Below are 25,845 nucleotides of genomic sequence, written 5' to 3' on the forward strand. Positions count from 1 at the left end.
GCCAATTTCTTTTATTTAAGCCACCTAGTCTATTGTATTTTTATGGCAGCCTGAGCTAATACACAAGTTCAGAATATAAATACTTTTAGCTGTACATGGAACCACTATTGACCATATATCAGACTTTAAAAGTCTTAATACATTTTAAAAGATTACAATTTTACAGACTATATTCTCCAATAATGGCCCTAAATCAGAAACCAATAAGAAAAGAACATCTAGAAAATGTCCACGTTTCATTTTTTAAAAAGCTAACTGATGTTAAAAAAATTACAGGTGAAATTAGAAAATATTTTGAACTGAATGACAATAGAAAATACAACATAGCAAAATCTGAGGTGCAATGCTTAGAGGGAAGTTTATCACTTTAAATATTTAGAAAAGAAAAAATTTATATCAGTTATATTTCTTCTCAGGATGCTGAAAAATTCAAATTGAACCAAATTAAGTAGTAGAAAGAAAATAATAAAGATAAACGCAGAAAGCAATGAAATAAGAAATAAAGAAAAAATAATAAAGCCAAAAATTATTCCTTTGAAAAAAGTAATTGCATTAATAAACTCATAAAAAACCAGTCACACACATACAAAATATCTAGAATTAGGAATGAAAGAGGAAATATAACTGCTTATCCTACAAACATGAAAAGGATAATAAAAAATATAATGGACAATTATATGCTAATAAATATGTCAATTTAAATTAAATGACATATTTCAAAATTGATCCAGGAAGTAATATTGAATCAGAATACCCTGTATCTACCAAAGAAATTTAATTTACAATAACTAACATTCCCATAAAGGATACAGTCCTAGGCAGTTACAGATGGTGAATTCTATCAAACACTGAAATGACAAAAGAATCAATCTTACCAAAACCCTCACAAAATAGAAAAAGGAACACTTCCCAACTCATTTTATGAGGCCAGCATCACTCTGATACCAAAATCTGACAAATCAGAAAAGAAAATTTCAGAAAATGTCTCTCATGAACATAGATGCAAAAGTTCTTAACAATATTAGAAAATCAAATCCAGCAGTATATAAAAATAATATTACATCATGACCAAGGAGAGTTTATCCATGGAATGCAAAGCTGATTTAACAATAGAAAACCACTCAGATAGTTCACTACATTGACAGATGAGGGAGGAAAAACAACACGATTATCTTAATATATGAACAAAAACATTTGACTAAATTAACGTCATTCATGACAAAAACTCATAGCAAAGTAGGAATAGAAGTGAACTTCCTCAACGTCATAATGGTCAGTACGAAAACCACTACTGTTAACATACATGATGAAATATTGAACTATTTCCTTCTTAATTTGGAGGAAAAAAATCAAGAATATCTGCTCTCACCACTTCAATTCAACATTATACAAGAGGTTAGAGCTACTAAAATAAGGTAAACTTAAACAAATAAACAATTTTAAAAGAGACAGAAGGAAGAAAGGGAGGCAGGAAGAAAGTTTGGAAAGAAGGAAGTAAAACTGTGTTTGTTTGCAGATGATGTGATATTTATGTAGAGAATTATCAGACCTCTGAGCCTAAGCTAAGCCATCATATCCTTTGTGACCTGCACGTACACATCCAGATGGCCGGTTCCTGCCTTAACTGATGACATTCCACCACAAAAGAAATGAAAATGGCCCGTTCCTGCCTTAACTGATGACATTATCTTGTGAAATTCCTTCTCCTGGCTCATCCTGGCTCAAAAGCTCCCCTACTGAGCACCTTGTGACCCCCAACCCTGCCCGCCAGAGAACAACCCCCTTTTGACTGTAATTTTCCTTTACGTACCCAAATCCTATAAAACGGCCCCACCCCTATCTCCCTTCACTGACTGTCTTTTCAGACTCAGCCTGCCTGCACCCAGGTGAAATAAACAGCATTTTTGCTCACACATAGCCTGTTTGGTGGTCTCTTCACATGGATGCGCATGAAATTTGGTGCTGTGACTCGGATCCGGAGACCTCCCTTGGGAGATAAAATCCCCTGTCCTCCTGCTCTTTGCTCCGTGAAAAAGATCCACCTACGACCTCAAGTCCTCAGACCCACCAGCCCAAGGAACATCTCACCAATTTTAAATCAGGTAAGCGGCCTCTTCTTACTCTCTTCTCCAACCTCTCTCACTATCCCTCAACTGCTTTCTCCTTTCAATCTTGGCACCACCCTTCAATCTCTCCCTTCTCTTAATTTCAATAGAGACAAAGGAGACATGTTTTATCTGTGGACTCAAAACTCTGGCGCCGGTCACAGACTCAGGAAGGCAGCCTTCCCTTGGTGTTTAATCATTGCAGGGACGCCTCTCTGATTATTCACCCACGTTTCAGAGGTGTCTGACCACGTGGGGACGCCTGCCTTGGTCCTTCACCCTTAGCGGCAAGTACCGCTTTTCTAGGGGGCAAGAACTCCCCAACCCCTTCTCTCCGTGTCTCTACCACTTCCCCCTTTTCTAGAGGGCAAGAACCCCCCAACCCCTTCTCTCTGTGTCTCTACCCCTTCTCTGCTTTTCTGGGGGCAAGAACCCCCGATCTCTTATTTCCGCACCCCAACCTCTTATCTCTGTGCCCCGATCCCTTATTTCCGCTCCCCGACCTCTTATCTCCGTGCCCCAATCCCTTATTTCCACACCCTGACCTCTTATCTCTGCGCCCCAACCTTATTTCCATGCCCCGACCCCTTTCCCGCTTTTCTGGAGGGTTAGAACCCCTGAAACCCTTCCCTCCGTGTCTCTACTCTCTCTCTTCTCTAGGCTTGCTTCCTTCACTATAAGCAACCTTCCACCCTCCATTCCTCTGTCTCCCTTAGCCTGTGCTCTCAAGAACATAAAACCTCTTCAACTCACACCTGACCTAAAACCTAAATGCCTTATTTTCTTCTGCGATGCCACTTGACCCCAGTACAAACTCGGCAGTAGTTCCAAATAGCCAGAAAACGGCACTTTCAATTTTTCCATCCTGCAAGATCTAAATAATTCCTGTTGTAAAATAGGCAAACGGTCTGAGGTGCCTGACACCCAGGCATTCTTTTACACATCGGTCCCTCCCTAGTCTCTGTGCCCAGTGCAACTCGTCCCAAATCTTCCTTCTTTCCCTCCTGCCTGTCCCCTCAGTCCCAACCCCAAGCATCACTGAGTCTTTCTAATCTTCCTTTTCTACAGACCCATCTGACCTCTTCCCTTCTCCCCAGGCTGCTCCTCGCCAGGCTGAGCTAAGTCCCAATTCTTCCTCAGCCTCCACTCCTCCACCCTATAATCTTTTTATCACCTCCCCTCCTCACACCCGGTCCAGTTTACAGTTTCATTCTGTGAGTAGCCCTCCCCAACCCGCCCAGCAATTTCCTCTTAAAAAGGTGGTTGAAGCTAAAGGCATAGTCAAAGTTAATGCTCGTTTTTCTTTATCTGACCTCTCCCAAATCAGTGAGCATTTAGGCTCTTTCATCAAATATGAAAAACCCAGCCCAGTTCATGGCTCGTTCGGCAGCAACCCTGAGACGCTTTACAGCCCTTAGACCCTAAAAAGTCAAAAGGCCGTCTTATTCTCAATATACATTTTATTACCCAATCTGCTCCTGACATTAAATAAAACTCCAAAAATTAAATTCCAGCCCTCAAACCCCACAACAGGAATTAATTAACCTCACCTTCAAGGTGTATAATAATAGAGTTAGAGTAGAGGCAGCTAAATAGCAGTGTATTTCTGAGTTGCAATTCCTTGCCTCCACTGTAAGACAAACCCCAGCCACATCTCCAGCACACAAGAACTCCAAACACCTGAACCACAGCTGCCAGGGGTTCCTCCAGAACCTCCTCCCCCAGGAGCTTGCTACAAGTGCCGGAAATCTGGTCACTGGGCCAAGGGATGCCCACAGCCCAGGATTCCTCCTAAGCCATATCCCGTCTGTGTGGGACCCCACTGAAAATCAGACTGTTCAACTCACCTGGCAGCCACTCCCAGAGCCCCTGGAGCTCTGGCCCAAGGCTCTCTGACTGACTCCTTCCCAGATCTTCTCAGCTTCGTGGCTGAAGACTGACACTGCCCCATCGCCTCGGAAGCCCCCTAGACCATCACAGATGCTGAGCTTTAAGTAACTCTCACAGTGGAAAGTAAGTCTGTCCCCTTCTTAATCAATACAGAGGCTACTGACTCCACATTACCTTCTTTTCAAGGGCCTGTTTCCCTTGCCTCCATAACTGTTGTGGGTATTGACAGCCAGTCTTCTAAACCTCTTAAAACTCCCCAACTCTGGTGCCAACTTAGACAATACTCTTTTAAGCACTCCTTTTTAGTTATCCCCACCTGCCCAGCTCCCTTATTAGGCGGAGACACTTTAACTAAATTATCTGCTTCCCTGACTATTCCTAGGCTACAGCCACACCTCATTGCCACCTTTTCCCCCAGTTCAAAGCCTCCTTCACATCCTCCCCTTGCATCTCCCCACCTTAACCCACAAGTAAAAGACACCTCTACTCCCTCCTTAGTGACCGATCATGCACCCCTTACCATCCCATTAAAACCTAATCACTCTTAACCTGCTCAATGCCAATATCCCATCCCGCAGCACGCTTTAAAAGGATTAAAGCCTTTTATCACTCCCTTGTTACAGCATGGCCTTTTAAAGCCTATAAACTCTCCTTACAATTCCCCCATTTTACCTGTCCTAAAACCAGACAAGACTTACAGATTCGTTCAGGATCTGCGCCTTATCAACCGAATTGTTTTGCCTATCCACCCCGTGATGCCAAACCCATATACTCTCCTATCCTCAATACCTCCCTCTACAACCCATTATTCTGTTCTGGATCTCAAGCATGCTTTCTTTACTATTCCTTTGCACCCTTCATCCCAGCCTCCCTTCGCTTTCACTTGGACTGACCCTGACACCCATTAGGCTCAACAAATTACCTGGGCTGTACTGCTGCAAGGCTTCACAGACAGCCCCCATTACTTCAGCCAAGCCCAAATTTCTTCTTCATCTGTTACCTATCTCAGCATAATTCTCATGAAAACACACATGCTCTCCCTGCTGATAGTGTTCGACTGATCTCTCAAACCCCAGCACCTTCTACAAAATGACAACTCTTTTCCTTCCTAGGTGTGGTTAGATACTTTCGACTTCAGATACCTGGTTTTGCCATCCTAACAAAACCATTATATAAACTCACAAAAGGAAACCTAGTTGACCCCATAAATCCTAAATCCTTTCCCCACTCCTCTTTCCATTCCTTGAAGACAGCTTTAGAGACTGCCCCCACTCTAGCTCTCCCTGACTCATCCCAACCCTTTTCATTACCCACAGCTGAAGTGCAGGGCTGTGCAGTCAGAATTCTTACACAAGAACTGGGACCGCGCCCTATAGCCTTTTTATCCAAACAACTTGACCTTACTGTTGTTTTGCCGAGCCCTCAAGTCTGTGTGCGGCAGCCGCTGCCACCCTAATACTTTTAGAGGCCCTAAAAATCACAGACTATGCTCAACTCACTCTCTACAGTTCTCATAACTTCCAAAATCTGTTTTCTTCCTCATACCTGACGCATATACTTTCTGCTCCCGGGCTCCTTCAGCTGTACTCACTCTTTGTTAAGTCTCCCACAGTTACCATTTTTCCTGGCACGGACTTCAATCTGGCCTGCCACATTATTCTGGATACCACACCTGACCCTCATGACTGTATCTCTCTGATCCACCTGACATTCACCCCATTTCCCAATATTTCCTTCTTTCCTGTTCCTCACCCTGATCACATTTAGTTTATTGATGGCAGTTCCACCAGACCTAATTGCCACTCACCAGCAAAGGCAGACTATGCTATAGTATCTTCCACATCTATCATTGAGGCTACCGCTCTGCCCCCCTCCACTACCTCTCAGCAAGCCGAATTAGTTGCCTTAACTCAAGCCCTCACTCTTGCAAAAAGAATACGCGTCAATATTTATACTGACTCTAAATATGCCTTTCATATTCTGCACCATCATGCTGTTATATAGACTGAAAGAAGTTTCCTCACTACACAAAGGTCCTCCATCATCAATGCCTCTTTCATAAAAACTCTGCTCAAGGCCGCTTTACTTCCAAAGGAAGCTGGAGTCATTCACTGCAAAGGCCATCAAAAGGCGTCAGATCCCATTGCTCTAGGCAACGCTTATGCTGATAAGGTGGCTAGACAAGCAGCTAGCTTTCCAACTCCTGTCCCTCATGGCCAGTTTTTCCCCTTCACATCAGTCACTCCCACCTACTCCCCCACTGAAACTTCCACCTATCAATCTCTTCCCACACAAGGCAAATAGTTCTTAGACCAAGGAAAATACATCCTTCCAGCCTCACAGGCCCATTCTATTCTGTTGTCATTTCATAACCTCTTCCATGTAGGTTACAAGCCGTTAGCCCGTCTCTTAGAACCTCTCATTTCCTTTCCATCATGGAAATCTATCCTCAAGAAGATCACTTCTCAGTGTTCCATCTGCTATTCTACTACCCCTCAGGGATTGTTCAGGCCCCCTCCCTTTCCTACACATCAAGCGCAAGGATTTGTCCCTGCCCAGGACTGGCAAGTTGACTTTACTCACATGCCCCGAGTCAGAAACCTAAAATATCTCTTAGTCTAGGTGGACACTTTCACTAGATAGGTAGAGGCCTTTCCCACAAGGTCTGAGAAGGCCACCGCAGTCATTTCTTCCCTTCTGTCAGACATAATTCCTCGGTTTGGCCTTCCCACTTCTATACAGTCTGATAACAGACCAGCCTTTATTATCAAATCAGCCAAGCATTTTTACGGGCTCTTGGTATTCAGTGAAACCTTTATATCCCTTACAGTCCTCACTCTTCAGGAAAGGTAGAACGGACTAATAATCTTTTAAAAACACACCTCACCAAGCTCAGCCACCAACTTAAAAAGAACTGGACAATACTTTTACCACTTTCCCTTCTCAGAATTCAGGCCTGTCCTCGGAATGCTACAAGGTACAGCCCATTTAAGGTCCTGTATAGATGCTCCTTTTTATTAAGCCCCAGTCTCATTCCAGACACCAGACCAACTTGGACTGTGCCCCAAAAAACTTGTCATCCCTACTATCTTCTGTCTAGTCATACTCCTATTCACCATTCTCAACTACTCATACATGCCCTGATCTTGTTTACACTGCCAGTTTACACTGTTCTTCCAAGCCATCACAGCGGATATCTCCTGGTGCTATCCCCAAACTGCCACTGTTAACTCTTGAAGTAAATAAATAATCTTTGCTGGCAGGACTATGCTGAATCTCCTTAGGCACTCTCTAATTAGATGTCCTAGGTCCTCCCAATTCTTAGACCTTTAATACCTGTTTTTCTCCTTCTCTTATTCTATTTAGTTTTTCAATTCATACAAAACCATATCCATGCCATCACCAATAATTCTAAATGACAAATGTTTCTTCTAACAATCCACAATATCACCCCTTACCACAAAATCTTCCTTCATCTTAATCTCTCCCACTCTAGGTTCCCACGCCACCCCTAATCCCGCTCGAAGCAGCCCTGAGAAACATCGCCCATTATCTCTCCATACCATCCCCCCAAATTTTCGCCATACCAACACTTTACCACTATTTCGTTTTATTTTTCTTATTAATTTAAGAAGACAGGAATGTCAGGCCTCTGAGCCCAAGCTAAGCCATCATATCCCCTGTGACCTGCACATACACATCCAGATGGCCGGTTCCTGCCTTAACTGATGACATTCCACCACAAAAGAAATGAAAATGGCCTGTTCCTGCCTTAACTGATGACATTATCTTTTGAAATTCCTTCTCCTGGCTCATCCTGGCTCAAAAGCTCCTCTACTGAGCACCTTGTGACCCCCAACCCTGCCCGCCAGAGAACCCCCCCTTTGACTGTAATTTTCTTTTGCCTACCCAAATCCTATAAAACGGCCCCACCCCTATCTCCCTTCACTGACTGTCTTTTCAGACTCAGCCTGCCTGCACCCAGGTGAAATAAACAGCCTTGTTGCTCACACAAAGCCTGTTTGGTGGTCTCTTCACACAGTTGCGCATGAAAAGAATCCTAAGGAATCTACAAATAACTTACCAGAATTCAGTGAATTTAGCAAGATCACAAAGTACATAGTCAAAATACAACAATCGTTTTTCTATAGGCTAGCATGAGACAACTCAAAAAATAAAATCTAAGATTATGCTATTTACCATAGAGACAAGTATATAAAATACTTAGAAAAATGTTTAGTCTTGAAATATCTTTATACTAGACAATTACAAAGATTCCCCAGAGAAATCAAAGCAGACATCAATAAATGGAGAGCCATGTGCATGAATTAGAAAACTAAATATTCCTAAAATGTGAAATTCTTCCCTAATTAATCTGTGTCTTCAATGCAGTCTCAACACGTTCCTAGAAGACTTTTCCTTACATAGAAATTAACAAGCTGTTTCTAAAATCTATATAGCAATGCAAAGGACCTAAAATCATTAAAGCAACCTTTAAAAAAACAACAAATTAAAAAGACTCTGCACCAAATTTCAAGACTTAAAGCCAAAGTAATCAAGATGAGGTGGTATTTTCATAGAAAAAGAGAGTCAGATCAGTGACTCAGAGTCCAGAAATAGACCCACACATATGCATTCTATTAATTTTTGATTAATAAATGCACTGACTACTCTTGGTTTGGTGATATATATATGAAAAATACAAATACAAACAGATTCATGTTTTTCTAACATATTAAAGTACCTGACAACATTCTTCAGGCAAAGGAAGAGATAAAGGGCAAAAGAAGATTATGGTCGAGCTCAGAGGTCTAGCACAAGCAAATCGAAAAGTAGAGATGATATAGATTATACTACATCTTAGAAGCAACACTATTATAGGCAAAGTGTAAAAAAACTCGTTTTAAGTATAATACAGGAGGGAGGCAAGAATAGCTGGGACTCTTGTAATGCATCCCACAGTCTAACTCCATAAGGATGATCTCATGATGTTTGGTTATTCATTCATTTTCAAGAGTGAGGTCCTTAAGCCTCTTTGAGAAAGAGAGGAGAGGGCATGGGGAATGGGGATAAAAGGAAACAAAAGAGCAAGGAGCTTTACGTGGGTGTGATCACGCAGGAGCTCAGGAAAGGATAATCCAGAATCCAGGCCTCAGAAACAAAAGTTTCTCTCTGACTTTCTGCTGCCTCCTGACTCTGACCTCTCATTCTCCCTGGGGCTACTAATAGGACCCAGACTATCTCTGGCCAGGCGCAGTGGCCCACGCCTGCAATCCCAACACTTTGGGAGGCCAGGGCGGGCAGATCTCCTGAGGTCAGATGTTTGAGACCAGACTGGCTAACATAGCGAAACCCCCTATCTACTAAGAATGCAAAAGTTAGTGCAGCGTGGTAGAGAGAGAGAGAGGGAGGAAAGGGGAGACAGAGAGAGAGAGAGAGAGAGAGAGAAGAAAGAAAGAAACAAAGAAAGAAAAATGGAAGGAAAGAAAGGAAGGAATGAAAGAAAGAGAAAGGAAGGAAGGAAAGAAAGAGAGGAAGGAAGGAAGAGGAAGGAGGGAAGGAAGGAAGGAGGGAAGGAAGGAAGGAGGGAAGGAAGGAGAGAAAGGAAGGAAGGAAAGAAAGAGAAAGGAGGGAAGGAAGGAGGGAGGGAAGGAAGGAAGGAGGGAAGGAAGGAAGGAAAGAAAAAAGAAAGAAAGGAAGCAAAGAGAAAGAAAGAAAAGAAAGAAAGAAAAGAAAGAAAGAAAGAAAGATTATCCCTTTCCCAGCGTGGGTTATAGAAACCAGAACCTCTTTTCCCTGACACCAACAATAAAACTGAAAATTATTACTCTGCCTCCCCCCACATCTTTTTTTTTTAAATTTTTCTTTAAAAAAAAAAAAAAAGAGACAGGGTCTCACTATGCTGCCCAGGCTGGCCTTGAATTCCTGGGCTCAAGGGATTCTCCTGCCTCAGCCTCCCAAAGTGGTAGGATTACAGGTGTGAGCCACCACTCCCCAGGCTCAATGACTTTCTATGCAAAAACTGACCATAAATAAATTGTCTGACCTACCTTGTTTGATGGTAGGTCATAATAGCCCCATTCCAGAGAGGGTCCTGCCCCACACCCAGAAGGAAGAAACGTGGCACAGAGAGGCCAAGAAGAATCTACGCAGACTGGCCTTGCTGGGTTTCCTCACTCAGTCTGTCAGCATTAGACCAGAACCTATGGCCCAATCCTGTTTCTACAGGGCTGTGCATATTGTGATGGACCTAAGCATAAAAACGAACAATTTCCTCTATATCTTTGGATCTTCATTCTGAAGGCTCCCATGTCACATAAAACTATGATCTAATAAATTTGTATGCCTTTTCTCTCATTAATCTGCCTTTTGTCAGTTGACTTTCAGTGAACCATCAGAGAGTGAAGGGGAAGTTTCCCGTGGCCCTGCGATAATAATATGCCATCGAATGAAGAGCGTGATGGCATCAATGCTCTCTATCTGAATGACCGTCTGTCTATTTGTGCTCTACCTTACAGAAATTTGTTGGAATCTGTGGCCCACTGAAGTTAGGGACAAAAAAGTCCCTAACTTCATTGATGATACTCTCTGTATATATTTTAATTTTTATTTACTTATTTATTTTTATTTATTTATTTATTTATTTTGAGACAGAATCTTGCTCTGTCGCGCAGGCTGGAGTGCAGTGGCACGATCTCGGCTCACTACAACCTCCGCCTCACGGTTCAAGCAATTCTCGTGCCTCAGCCTCCCAAGTAGCTGGGATTACAGGCACGTACCACCATACCCAGTTAATTTTTGTATTTTTAATAGAGACGGGGTTTCACCATGTTAGCCAGGCAGGTCTTGAACTCCTGACCTCAAGTGATCTGCCTGCCTTGGCCTCCCAAAGTGCTGGGATTACAGGAGTGAGCCACTGTGCCCGACCTCTATACATATATTTAAATTGTTACTTTCTTTCTAACATATATGTGATCTGTGATAGAAAATAATGTGTCATTAATCATAATTTCTAAACGTGGCATTTACGAAAACAACATTTTGCATTTTGAATGATAAATTTCCAGCTACAGTTACAAAAATATATCCGAGAAAATGAACCAAAAGAGACTGAGATGGAATTGCCAAGGCCTCTCTGTTGGATACTTCTTGTCCCACTGGTTTTCATCTTTCACTCCGGCGTGATAGCTTTTGACATGTAAATGTATCCATTCGAGGCCACTAGATGGCAGTCTACTCAAAAACACGGCTTGCTCCTTTTTCTTTCCACAAGGCTAAGGAATTATGTTAGCATTTGACCTGTTCTCTCCCTCCAAAACCTAGCAAACCCAAGTTTTCATGAGTTTGCTAAGAACAAAAGTAGTTATCCTGAGTACCTAATACCTGAACAAAAAGTTTTTGCTATTTTCAACAAAGGAAACATTTGTCACAACAGGAATTCACTGGAGTTAGACAGAGAAAGGGTCCCAGCCATGAGTTCACTAAAAGGTACAACATCTCTCCCTCTGTCTCTCTCCCTTTAACTCTCCTTCTTTCTCTCTTTCTTTCTTTCTTCCCGTCTTCCTTCCTCCCTCTTTCTTTTTTCTTTCTTCCCTCCCTCCCTTTATTTTCCCACTCCCTCCCCTCTTTCTTTTTCTCTTTCTTTCTTTCTTTCCTCTCTCTCTCTCTCTCTCTTCCTTCCTTCTTTCCTCTCTCCCCACTTCCTTAATATGGTTTGGCTGTGTCCCCACCCAAGTCTCATCTTGAATTATAGCTCCCATAATTCTCACATGTTGTGGGAGGAACCCAGTGGGAGGTAATTGAATGATGGGGGTGGGTCTTCCCATGCTGTTCCTGTGATAGTGAATAAGTCTTATGAAATCTGATGGTTTTATAAACGGCAGTTTCTCTGCACATGCCTTCTTGCCTGCTGCCATGTAAGACGTGCCTTTGCTCCTCCTTCACATTTTGCCATGATTATGAGGCCTCCTCAGCCATGTGGATCTGTGAGTCCATTAAAGCTCTTTTGTTATAAATTACACAGTCTCAGGTATGTCTTTATTAGCACCATGAAAATGGACTAATACACACCTTGTCCCACTCTTTCTTCTCTCCCTCCCTCCCTTTCTGTCTTCCTCCTTCACTCTCTCTCTTTCTTCCCTCTCACCCTCCCTCCCTTCCTTCCTTCACTTTGTTTATTTTTTGTTTCCTCACTTCTCTGGCATCTTCCGTGCTGGTTTCAGCCTCTGGAGTGTTGTAGAGGTGAAGAGGGAAAGCTTCCCCCTTCTCCCTCTGAAGGTCCACTGAAAATGAACTGACAAGAGGCCAATTAATAGGAAAAAACAGCATACAAATTTATTTTAACATGCATAGCACTGGGGAATCCCAGGAGAATGAATTCCCAATAACCCAATGAGGTCCAGATTCTTATATACTCTTCTTCAGAGGGGAAGAGGAGGTGAGAGTCTGTAGGAGAAAATGATTTTTAGGGAGGTCTGAAGGGACCCAGGAGGCAGATATTTATCTTGTAAATGATGCTCTTTAGAACTGAGAGGTAACAGAGAACAGATAACAGTTTGAGACAAAGTTCATTTGCATTCCAGGTATGGTGTTTAACTTCCCATCTCTTCCTCTGTGATGAGTTTTAATCTTCCCTGGTTAATGAAATTTCAGGGGACAGATGCAAGGGTTCCAATTGTGTTCTCTTTTGAAGCCTAGTTTCTAGGTTAACAAGGGGACTTCAGAGAACAGCCTCATCTTGTGTTTGGGAGAGAGAGATTGAACGGATTGGAGGGGAGGTTAGAGAGATCTTGACACTGCTTCTTTGGTTCCATTTCTAGCAAGTTTTCTGAGCCCCAACAGTATACACAAATACATGAAACCAGAGGTTGGCACTCTGGGAGAAATGACGCTGCCATGCAGTTTCTGGCCTGGCACCTCTAGTAATCTTCTTCACCTGGCTAAGTTTTTTTGTTTTGTTTTGTTTTGTTTTGTTTTGTTTTGTTTGAGATGAAGTCTCCTTCTGTCACCCAGGCTGGAGTGCAGTGGCGTGATCTAGGCTCACTGCAACCTCCACCTCCTGGATTCAAGCAATTCTCATGCCTCAGCCTCCCAAGTGGCTGGGATTACAGGCACGTGCCACCATAATAGAGATGGGATTTCACCATGTTGGCCAGTCTCGAACTCCTGTCCTCAGGTGATCCGCCCACCTCGGCCTCCTAAAGTGCTGGGATTACAGGCATGAGCCACTGCACCTGGCCTTCACCTGGCTTAGTTTTGCATAGCCTACAGAACAGGAGGCTGCTTCTTCCTTGGTCCCTGACCTCTTGCTCCTTGATGTTGTCCGGGGGTGCAAGGATCATTCCCCCAGTCACTTGCACATGGGAAGAGAGCAAAATCAGGGGCCAGCTGTAGTTAAGACAAAGGGAATCCAGGACTGAGCGTCCCCACCCTCTGGGTGGTACTCTATCACCCAACAAGTACATTACCTAACAAACTCTAGGTCTCAGTTTCTTTATCTATAAAAGAGGATAATAATTTTACCTACCTCATTTTTTTAATATAAAATGGATAAAGTACTTAAAACAATACCTGAGACATGGTATGTGGTCAATGAATGTTAGTGCTAATAACACTGATGATTATTACTATTATAAACACAGCAAACATAAAGTTAAAAGAGAGTTAAGATTACCAAGGAGCAGATGAAATGACTGATAGTTGCTTATTGTTGTGGTGGTGGTTTTGTTTTGTTTTTCAGACAAAATTTTGCTCTGTTGCCCAGGCTGGAGTGCAGTGGCACAATCATAGCTCACTGCAGCCTCAACCTCCTGGGCTAAAGTGATACTCCCAGCTCAGCCTCCTGAGTAGCTGGGACTACAAGCGCATGCTGCTATGCCTGTTAATTTTTGTATTTTTTGTAGAGATGGGGCTTCACTCTGTTTCCCAGGCTGGTCTCTAACTCCTGAGCTCAAGGGATCCACCCATCTTGGCCCCACAAAGTGCTGGAATCACAGGCATGAGCCACTGCACCTGGCTAGTTGTTTTTTTTATTTCGAAGCTTTACCTTAAAAATCTCTTTGGACTGAGAAGTAGGGCTTTTCCATGGTTGAAAGTCCAAATGTTTGGTAACAGAGTAGGATGGCTGTAGTTAGCAACGGTGTATTGTATATTTCAGAGTAGCTAGAAGAGAGAACTTGAAATGTCCCCCCACACATATGAATGATAAATACTCAAGGTGATGGGTACCCCAAATACCGTGACCTCATCATTTCACATTCTATGCATGAAGCAAATATCACATGTACTCCGTACATACGTAAAAATATTATGTATCAATTGTTGCCCTGCCTTTACCAGGTCAAAACACAGACTGAAAGCAGCATCCAGACATTCTTAATGACTCCTAGCAATCTTCCTTGGGCTGTGGATGAGGAAAGGGGACCCAGAAAGATACATACCATAAATATTTGCAGGATTCTTAGAGACTAGTAAATAAATTCAGGATTGTTACCTAGAGAGAGATGCATTTAGAGTTTGAGGCTTTAATCTCATAAAAATAACAGATTGAGGCATCCAAAAATTAAACCCGTGCCGTGGAGGAACAGGGCTGTGCCATAGAGGGTGTTTAGAGACCAGCAGAGTAGTCTACCCTTTGTTTTATTTCAGAATGTCACATCTAAAACAGTAAAGATCCTGCCGTCTTGCTCCCAGATGATATGTAATTGTTCGAAAATAAGAATAATTTTTCATCATGGAAAGATATCCTACTCAGGTGGGAGGAAATGGCTCTTCTTTCTGGAAGGAGGAGTTACAGCAAATAAAGAAATCATGTGGTACATATACACCACGGAATACTATGCAGCCATAGAAAGGAATGAGATCATGTCCTTTGCAGGGACATGGATGAAATGGGAAGCCATTATCCTCAGCAAACTAACACAGGAACAGAAAACCAACACCACATGTTCTCACTCATAAACGGGAGCTGAAAAATGAGAACACATGGACACAGGGAGGGGAACAACACACACCAGGGCCTGGTGGTGAGGTGGGAGGATGGAGAGCATCAGGATAAACAGCTAATGCATGCTGGGCTTAATACTTAGGGGATGGGTTGATAGGTTTAGCAAACCACCATGACACACATTTACCTATGAAACAAACCTGGACATCCTGCACATGTGTCCTGGAACTTAAAATAAAATAAAATGTTTTTAAAAAGGAAGTCATGGCCTTGTTACCTTCCAGATCAAGAAGAAAGGTAAACTTAAAATATTTTAACCATGTGACACCTTACTTTGTCATCAGCTGTGGTTATACATAGAGCTTCTTAAGTAGCATTCCCGATTATTATGAGAGATTTTTTTGTAAGATGTAGGAGTACAGGCACAGAAAGGGAGACAGTTTGGGTTGTTTTTATCACGTAAGAAACCTGTTCAGAAATCAGAACTAATATTCCAGGCAGCCACACTTTATTATTTCTGAAAATTACTTTCCTTGCTTAAGGCTTTCTTGTCAGACTTTCAGAAATCACAGACTTAAGTTTCTCTAAGATGTCCTGCTATGCTCCTAAAGCCTGAGGACTTCATTAATGGCTCTCCCAGGTTTGCAACAACTTCTTCTTAAATCTCCTGGAGAGTGCACGCTCCTGAACATACACAACGTGTCCAAAGATTTTGACACTAAGAGTCACCTCTTTTAAAAAAAAAAGAAAAGAAAAACAAAACAAACAACAACAAAAACAAGCAACAAAAAAGAAAGCTTGTTTTGACTTTTTTGAGACCACATTCTTCTAGTTTTTTTACAACTTCTTTTAAGGTGCTGCTGAAGCGGCTTCCTTGTCTGGGGTGATACCCGAGATTCGTTGTCTCAAGGCCACGGAAAACTAGCACGTGAACACACAAAGAGTGAGCTTCAGAGTAGAAATTTAATAGGCGAAAAAAACAGAAGAGCTCTCTGCTGCAGAGAAGGGTCCCAAGAAAATGGGTTGCCAGTTCCAAGGTGAAAAGGGTTTTATAGATGAGCCTGTAGAGGCGATGTCTGATTTAGATAGGGCACAAAAGATTGGTTGGACCAGGTATGCCATTTGCATAGGGTGAGAAAAACTGGTTAGGGCTGGGTGTGTCATTAGCAGAGGGCATGAAAAGCTGTCTGCGCTCACCCTAATCTTTTACTATGCAGATGGGTTCTCTATCTGGCCAGCGCCATGTTGCCCATCTCTTTATTGCACATGTGGTAACAAAAAAGGGAAGATGGAACCTCCATGTTGGATATGCCTGGCCACCAGGTAGCCCTCTTCTATTGGCACAGCTGCCGGCATTCTCCCGTGCAGGCTTCCAGCTTGCTTATCTATGTTTGCAGCTTGATTTTTCAGGCTGCTCTTTGTTGGAAAAAAATAATTTCTTGGGCTGCTTTTTGTTAACAGGGAAGCCTTGCCGAGGACTCTTTTATCTTCACTATCTGCCTAAATAATTTTTTTCCATCTCCTGCATCACTGTTTCTCAATTTGCTATACGAACCATTGTTTCCAGTAAGGTTGCAGAATTTGGGGTAAGGAAGATTCTGTTATCAGCTCTTTATTTACACCATGCAATCGCCAGTCCAGCCCTGCCCCTACTGTCCGGGCAATCACTGTTCTGATATTTTCCTACTGTAGATTGGTTTGGGCTATTGTAGAATGCCATGGAAATAGAAACGTGTAGTGTGTACTTTTTCAGTAATAACCTGCAGGTAACAAATACTCTATTTCTATCATTTTATTCAAGCAAAATGACATGAATGACTGAAAAAGCATGTGGAGCACAAGACTCAAGAACTAAGTGAAAGGACTCACACTTCCTGATTTCAAGTAAAGCTACAGCAATCAAGACGTGGCATTGATGTAAGAATAGACACATCAATGAATGAAACAGAATACATCTTCCAGAAATAAATTCACACAAATATAGTCAAGAGGTTTTTTGTGTGCTAAAGTGTATATAATATTTACCATTTTAACCATTTTTAAGTGCACAGTTCAGAAGCATTAAGAATAAACAATGTTGTATAACCATCACCATTATCCAGTTCCAGAATTTTTCATCACCTCACACAGAAACTCTGTACCTATTATCAACAATAAATTTTCATTCCCCCCTTGCCCTCAGTCTCTGGTAACCACTATTGAACTTTCTGTTTCTATGAATTTGCCCCTTCTCAGTGCCTAATATGAGTGGAATAATACAATATGGGTCCTTTGTGCCTAGTTTATTTCACTTACTGTAATGTTTTCAAGGTTCATCCATGTTATAATATGGATCAGAATTTTATTTCTTTTCAAGCATGAATAATAGTCCATGGTATGTCTATACCACATTGTTTATCCATTCATCAGCTGATGGATATTTGGGGGTTGTTTCTATCTTTTGGCTATTGTAAATGATGATGTTATGAACAATGGTGTATAATGTCTGTTTGAGCACTGCTTTGAATTGTTTGGGGTATATACTTAGGAGCGGAATTACTGGATCATATGTCAATTCTATGTTTAATTTTTGAGGAACTGTCGAGCTGTCTTTCACAGCAGCTGCATAATTTTACATTCCCACCACAATGCATAAGAGCTTCAGTTTCTCAAAATCTTTACCAACATTTATTTTTCTTTTTAAAAATATATAATAGCCATACTAATAGTATAAAGTAATATTTCATTGTGCATTTGATTTGCATTTCCCTAATGATAACTGATGTTGAGCATCTTTTCACGTGCTTGTTGACCATTTGTATATCTTCTTTTGAGATATGTCTAATCAAGTCCTTTGTCCATTTTTTAATTGGGCTGGGTATTATTCTTCTGTTATTGTTGAGTTGCAGGAGTTCTTTATATATTCTGCATAAAAGTTCCTTATCATATATTGATTTTCAAAATCTCTCTCCTATTCTATGGGTTGTTTTGATTTTTTTTTTTTTTTTGCTTTCTCAACAGTGTCCTTTAATGTGTAAAATCTTTTAATTTTGATGAAGTCCAGTGTATCTACTTTTTTCTTTTGTTGCCTGTGATTTTGTTGGCATTTTCAATAAATCACTGCCAGATCTAATGTTATGAAGCTTTTGCTCTGTGTTTTCTTCTAGGAGGTGTTTTATAATTTCTACATTTCTACTTAGGTTTCTGATCCATTTCGAGTCAATTATTATATGCAATATAAGATAAAGATCCAAGGTCATTGTTTTGCATGTGAATATGTGTTTTTCCCAGCACCAATTATGAAGATAGTCAACGGATTTCTAATAAAGATACTGAAGAAATTCAATGCAGAAAGGGTAGTCTTTTCAAGATCAAGTCCTGGAACAGCTGGACATCCATATGCAATTCTGTAGGAAAATGTTAGTGTTACCCTATGCTGCTGTTCTCATGATAGTAAGTTCTCATGAGATCTGATGGTTTTATAAGGGGCATTTCTCCCTTCTTCTTGGCACCTCTCCTTCATGCCATCATGTGAAGAAGGACACGTTTGCTTTTCCTTCTGCCATGATTGTAAGTTTCCTGAGGCTTCTCCAGCCCTGAGGAACTGCGAGTCAATTAGAACTCTTTCCTGGCCAGGCATGGTGGCTCATGCTTGTAATCCAAGCACTTTGGGAGGCCGAGGCGGGGCAGATCACTTGAGGCCAGGAGTTCGAGACCAGCCTGGCCAACATGGTGAGACCCTGTTTCTACTAAAAATAAATAAATAAACAAATAAATAAACTCTTTCCATTATAAATTACCCAGTCTCGGGTATGTCTTTATTAGCAACATGAGAATGGACTAATAGAGAGGTTTTAGAGATAATATCAAAAGGAAAATCCATGAAAGAAAAATTGGTAAGGGGCTGGGCGCAGTGGCTCACGCCTATAATCCCAGCACTTTGGGAGGCCGAGGCGGGTGGATCACCTGAGCTCAGGAGTTCAAGACCAGCCAAGCCAACATGATGAAACCCTGTCTCTACTAAAAATACAAAAATTAGCTGGATGTGGTGGTGCATGCCTGTAATCCCAGCTACTCAGGAGGCTGAGGCAGGAGAATCACTTGAACCCGGGAGACAGAGGTTGTAGTGAGCCAAGATTGTATCACTGCACTCCAGCCTTTCCAACAGAGTAAGACTCCATCTCAAAAAAAAAAAAAAAAAAAAAGAAAGAAAAATAGGTAAGTTGAACTTTTCAAAATTAAGAACATAATTCTATTTACAGTAGCATCCAAAAGAATAAAATACCTAAGAGTAAATGTAACCAAGGAGGTGAAAGACTCATACACCTAAAACTACAAAACATTGAAAAAAATAAAGAAGACCTAAATAAAAAGAAAGACATTATTCATCTATAGATTAAAAGACTTAATATTAAGATATTTTAGCAGCATTAGTTTTAGCAGCATTAGTGATCTACAGATCAAATGTAATTCCTATAAAAATTCCAACAACCTTTTATTCAGAAATGGGACAGACAGTCCTCAAACTTCTATGGAATTGAAGAGGATCTCAAATAGCTACAACAATATTGAAAAAAGCAAAACAAAGTTGAAAGACTAAAACTTCTCAATTTTAACACTTATTTCAACTCTATGGTAATATAAAATTCTACACACACAACAATGGAATAAAATTGAGAGTCTAGAAATAAACCCAAATATCTATGGACAACTGACTTTCAACAAGCGTGCAAAGATCATTTAATGGGGAAAGAAAAGTATTTTCAACAAATGATGTTGGGACAACTGGACATCCACATGCTAAAGAATAAATTTGGACTCCTACTTTACTTCATATACAAAAATTAATACAGAATAGATTAATTACATAAATATAACCACTAAAACAATAAAACTCTTAGAAGAAAACAGTAGATTTCTATATCTGACACCAAAAACATGGTAATAAAAGAAAAAATTGATAAATTAGACTTTACCAAAATTAAAAACTATTGTGCATTAAATGACACTATCAAAAGAGTAAAAACACTGCCTACTGAATGAGAGAACATATCTGCAAATCTTATATCTGATAATGGTGTCATACGTGGACTATATAAAAAACTCTCGCAACCTAGCAACAGAAAGACAAACAAACAAATTTAAAAGTGGTTAAAGGACTTGAATAAACATTTCTCAAAAGAAGATATGAAAATAGCCAACGACCACATAAAAATATGTTCGACATCGTTGGTCATTAAGGTAATGTAAATCAAGATCACAAGATCCCACTTTACATGCATGAGGACAACAATGTTTAAGAAAAAAAAAAACTGAACATAACAAGTGTTGGTAAGGATATGGAGAAATAGAAACCCTCTTACATTGGGAATCTAAAATGGTGCAGCTACTTTGAAAAACAGTTTGATAGATCCTCAAAAAGTGAAACATAAAATTAACATATGACCCCACAATTTCATTCAGATTTATACCCAAGAGAAACGAAAATATAAATCATCACAGAAACTTGTACATGAATGTTTATAGCAGCATTAAGCATAGTAACCAAAAGGTGGAGACAACCCAAATATCCATCAATGAATGAAGGGATAAACGAATTGTGGTATATACATGCAATGGCATATTACTCAGACATGAAAAGGAAATAAATATCAATACATGCTACAACTAGGATGAATCTCAAAAACAGTATGCTAAGTAAGAAGCCGTACACAAAAGGTCATAAATTGTATAATTTTTATATGAAATATCCACAATAGGCAAATACATAGAGACAGAAAGTAGATTAATGGTTGCCAGGTGATAGTGAGAGAATAGAATAAGTAATTACTTAAGAGGTTTGGGGTTTCTTCTTATGTGAGGAGAAAGTTTCAAAACTAGAGAGAGATGGTGGCTGCACAACATTCTGAATGCACTAAATATCCATGAATTGTACACTTTAAAATGGTTAATTGCATGTTATATAAATTTCACCTTAACAAAATAAAGTCCCTTGCTTTGTGAAAAAAACTGTTAAGAGAATGAAAATACAAGACACAGGTGCAGACCAAAAATTGCAAAACAGATCTATGATAAATGACTTGTTTTTAAAATACACAAAGAATGCTTAAAACCAAATAGAAGAAAACAAATGACCCAATTAAAAATGGGACAACATCCAGAATGGCTGAGAACCTCCAGAAATCTGCTCTTCCACAAAAATAATTAGTACCCTGACCCCAAAAGTTGTCCAAATCAACATTTTCAGAACTCTAGAAATTGAATAAGATTTGAAAAAACTCTAGGAGCTTTTATTCAAGAAAACCAACTGAATCTTGAAAAGAAGAATGAACTTTGGGGCATTATGACTTGCCCTAATCCCATCCTCCTCTGTCCAGCTTCACAGTAGCCATGGAAAACAACAGCCTCACAACTACAGTGGTTGTGAAAAACACTGACAGCCTAGCAGCCACTGTAAGGGACAGAAGAGATTTGGATCTCCCAAAAATCCCTTCTTTAGAGATTATTATTACAGACATACCACATTTTATTGTGCTTAACTCTATTGCATTTCCTCAATACTGCATTTTTTACAAATGTTAAGATTTGTGGTAACCCTGCAATGAACAAGTCTATGGACATTACTTTCCAACAGTATGTGCTCAATCAGTGTCTCTACGTAACATTTGGTAATTATCATGATATTTCAAACTTTTTCATTATTATATCTGTTATGGTGATCTGTGATCGGTGATCTTTGATGTTAGTATTTTAATTGTTTTGGGGCGCGATGAACTGCACCCATATTAGATGGCAAGCTTAATCAATAAATGTCGTGTGTGTTCTGACTGCTGCATCAATAAGCCATTACTCCATCTCTTTCCCTCTCCATGGGCCTCCCTATTCCCTGGTATACCATAATATTGTAATGAGGCCAATTAATAATCCTACAATGGCCTCCAGATGTTCAAGTGAAAGGAAGAGTCACATGTCTTTCACTTAAAATCAAAAGCTAGAAATGATTAACCTTAGTGAGGAAGATGTATCAAAAGTTGAGACAGGCCAAAAGCTAGGCCCCTGTGCCAAACAGTCAAGTCGTGAATGCAAAGGAAAACTTACTGATGGAAATTTAAAGTGCTACTCCAGTGAAAATACAAATGATAAGAAAGCAAAACAGCCTTATTACTGACATGGAGAAAGCTTGAGTGTTCTGGATAGAAGATCAACCAGCCACAACATTCACTTAAGCCAAAGCCTAACCCAGAGCAAGACCCTGACTCTCTTCAATTCTGTGAAGGCTGAGAGAGGTGAGGAAGCTGCAGAAGAAGGGTTGGAAGCTAACAGAGGTTGGTTCATGAAGTTTAAAAAAAGAAGCCATGTCTGTAACATAAAAGTGCAAGGTGAAGCAGCAAGTGCTGATGTAGAAGCTACAGCAAATTATCCGGAAGATCTAGCTAAGGTAATTAATGAAAGTGGCCACACTAAATAAAAGATTTTCAGTGTTGATGAAACAGCCTTCCATTGGAAGAAGATGCCATACCGGATTTTCATAGCTAGAGAAGAAAAGCCAGAAAAGCTTCAAAGGACAGGCTGACTCTCATGTTAGGGGCTAATGCAGCTGGTAACTTTAAGTTGAAGCCAGTGCTCACTTACCATTCTGAAAATCCCAGGGCCCTTAAGAATTATGCTAAATCAACTGCCTGTGCTTTATAAATGAAAGAACAAAGCCTGGATGGGCATGGTTTACTGAATATGTTAAGCTCACTGTTGAGTCCTACTTCTCAGATGGAAAGGTTTCCTTCAAAATATTAGTGCTCATTGACAGTGCACCTGGTCATCCAACAGCTCTGATGGAGATGTACAAGGAGATTAATGTTTTCATGCCTGCTAACACAGCATCCATTCTGCAGCCCATGGACCAAGGTAATTTCAACTTTCAGTCTTATTTAAGAAATACATTTCCTAAAGCTATAGCTGCCATAGAAAATGATTCCTCTGATGGATCTGGGCAAAATAAATTGAAAATCTTCTGAAAAGGATTCACCATTCTAGATGCCATTAAGGACATTTATGTTTCATTGTGGAAAGTCAAAATATCAACATTCACAGGAGTTTGGAAGAAGCTGGTTCCAACTTTACGGAAGACTTCAAAGGGCTTAGGACTTCAGTGTAGAAACTGTAGATGTGGTAGATATAGGAAGAGAACTAGAATTAGAAGTGGAGCCTGAAGATGACACTGAATTGCTGCAATCTCAGGATAAAGCTTGAATGAGTAAGGAGTTGCTTCTCATGGATGAGCAAAGACTATGGTTTTTTAATATGGAATCTACTTCTGATAAAGATGCTGTGAACATTGTTAAAATGACAACAAAAGATTTAGAATATTGCATAAACTAGTTGGCAAAGCAGCAGCAGGGTTTGAGACGATTGACTCCAATTTGGAAAGATGTTCTACTGTGAGTAAACAGCATCATACGCTACAGAGAAATTTTTAGTGAAAGGAAAAGTCAATTGATGTGGCAAACTTCACTGTTGTCTTATTTTAAGAAAGTGCCACAGCCACCCCAAGTTTCAGCAACCACCACTTTCATCAGCCATTAACATCGAGGCAAGACCTTTCACCAGCAAAAAGATTACAAACTCACTGAAGGCTCAGATGATTGTTAGCATTTTTCAGCAATAAAGTTTTTTTATTATGGCATGCAGATTGCTTTTTTAGACATAATGATACTGCACATTTAAAAGACTTCAATGTATTAGAAACTTAACTTTTATTTTTATTTTTTGAGATAGGCTCTCACTCTGTCACCCAGGCTGGAGTGAACTGGCATGATTACAGCTCACTGCAGCCTCCAATTCCTGGGCTGAAGTGATCTTCCCACCTCACCTCACTGATTAGGTGGGACCACAGGCGTGTGCCACCACACCTGGATAACTTTTTTATTTTTTGTAGTGATGAGGTCTCACAATATTGCTCAGGCTGGTCTTGAACTCCTGGGCTCAAGTGATCCTTCTGCCTTGACCTCCCAAAGTGCTGGAATTACAGGCATGAACCATCTGTGGCCTCCCAAGTGCTGGAATTATAGGCATGATTGTTATGTTACACTCAGCCTGTAAACATAACTTTTATATGCCTTGGGAAACAAAAATATTTATGTGATATTCACTTCATTACAATGATCTGAAACCAAACCCACAATATCTCTGAGGCATGCTTATAGTTAGACTGTCTGGAATCTCAATGAAAAAGTCAATTATCAGAGTTTTTCTCTATTTGATATGACTTAGGGCTTGCTCTGTCTGAGCAGCCTTATCTCCAGGGCATTCATCGAAAACAATCAGTGGTGGCCGGGCGCGGTGGCTCATGCTTGTAATCCCAGCACTTTGGGAGGCCAAGGCGGGCGAATCATGAGGTCAGGAGATCAAGACCATTCTGGCCAATGTGGTGAAACCTCGTCTCTACTAAAAATACAAAAAGTTAGCTGGGCTTGGTGCACACACCTGTAGTCCCAGCTACTCGGGAGGCTGAGGCAGGAGAATTGCTTGACCCCAGGAGGCGGAGGTTGCAGTGAGCCGAGATCGCACCACTGCACTCCAGCCTGGGCGACAGAGTGAGACTCTGTCTCAAAAAAATAGTGGTAACTGTTTAACGTTGCAGCTTCCTGAATCAGTGTTGGCACTCGAGACTAACAAAAAGCTGACCAAAAAAAAAAAAAAAAAAAAAATTAAAAGGAATTGAGATGTCCTTAGGGAATTTCAAAAAGTTTTGTCATATTCCTGAGAATCTAGAAGATGACCTGCATTTGCAGGGCTGTATAGATGCTCAAGAAAGGTTCAGTTTTCACCTCTGATTGACTTTGAGGCCCTGAGCAAGTAGAAGAGGGGTTTTCTGCAAGAAGAAAGTGAAAGCATAACAGGGAATTGAAGATATGCCACATACAGAATATTGTCCCTGGCAAAAGCTGAGGGACATATCGATTCAAGGCATTTTAAGAAATTTCTGTCTGATTATTAGCTGACCCTTAATCTAACTGCAGTTACTGCAGTGGCCACACATGATGAAGAATACAAACTTTCCAGAATTCTTTCAGGAAACAGCAGCAACAACTACTGCAACAAAAGCAATAAACCCTGAGTTAGGGGAGGGGGATCTAATTTCCAGATTTGCCACATTATATTATTTTAAATACCCAATTTTTAACAAGAGATTAACACACATAAAAAAACATGAAAAAATGGTTCATGCACAAGAAAATATACAATGAAAAAGATAAAAAAGAAAAAGGAAAAAATTGAAGAAATGATAGCGCAAAAATGTCCCAAATTTGGTAAAAAAAAAAAAAAAAAATTAATTTGCACATGCAAGCAGGATAAACTCAAAGAGATCCACACCTAGACACGTTGTAGTTGAAATGTCAAAAGCCAAAAAAAAGTGAGAATATCTTGAAAGTTGCAAGAGAAAAGCAGTTTATTACATACAAGGAGTCCTAAATAATATGAATAGCTTACTTGTCATCAGAAACCATGAAGGCCAGAAGACTGTGAGATAACATATTCAATTTGATGAACAACAACAACAAAAAAATCCTGTTAAACAGAACTTTATATCCAACAATACTATTCTTCAAAAACAAGGGAAAAATTTAAAAATTCCCAGATAATCAAAAGCTGAGAGAATTTCTTATTATGAGACCTACCCTAGAAGAAATACTAAAAGAAGTACTTAGGGTTTAAATGAAAGGACATTAAGCAGTAACTTGAATCCACAAAACTAAATAAAAAGCACTGGTAAAAGTAACTACATAAGTTAATATAAAAGACAATATAAATATATTTTTGTTTGTAACTCTTTTATTCTTCTATCTGATGTAAAAGACAACTGCATAAAGTAATAACTATAAAACGATGTTGATCAGCTAATAAAGCACAAAGCTATAATTTGTACAG

The 25,845-nt window shown here is 40.3% G+C and overlaps 1 long non-coding RNA gene across 2 annotated transcripts in view, besides 2 other annotated features; it reads left to right on the forward strand.

The window, feature by feature from the left end:
* Nucleotides 1–18,056, forward strand: part of LINC00836 (long intergenic non-protein coding RNA 836) — an 81,224-nt gene extending 63,168 nt beyond the window's left edge. For both annotated transcript variants that reach the window (NR_108067.1, NR_108068.1), the window contains 2 exons: nt 1,866–2,102; nt 16,742–18,056. This is a non-coding gene — a long non-coding RNA (long intergenic non-protein coding RNA 836). The remainder of the gene's footprint in view (nt 1–1,865; nt 2,103–16,741) is intronic.
* Nucleotides 1,401–1,902: an enhancer, noted in NCBI's record as "NANOG hESC enhancer chr10:26005209-26005710 (GRCh37/hg19 assembly coordinates)". NCBI's record gives its function as "activates a minimal SCP1, AML or CMV promoter by ChIP-STARR-seq in naive H9 embryonic stem cells {active_cell/tissue: H9 hESC(naive)}" and the evidence as "EXISTENCE:reporter gene assay evidence [ECO:0000049][PMID:30033119]".
* Nucleotides 23,711–23,882: a silencer, noted in NCBI's record as "fragment chr10:26027519-26027690 (GRCh37/hg19 assembly coordinates)". NCBI's record gives its function as "represses an EF-1alpha promoter that drives an FKBP-Casp9 reporter gene in an ReSE screen in K562 erythroleukemia cells {active_cell/tissue: K562}" and the evidence as "EXISTENCE:reporter gene assay evidence [ECO:0000049][PMID:32094911]".

This window comes from Homo sapiens, chromosome 10 (assembly GCF_000001405.40).
Source record: "Homo sapiens chromosome 10, GRCh38.p14 Primary Assembly".
In the NCBI taxonomy this organism is placed as follows: domain Eukaryota; kingdom Metazoa; phylum Chordata; class Mammalia; order Primates; family Hominidae; genus Homo; species Homo sapiens.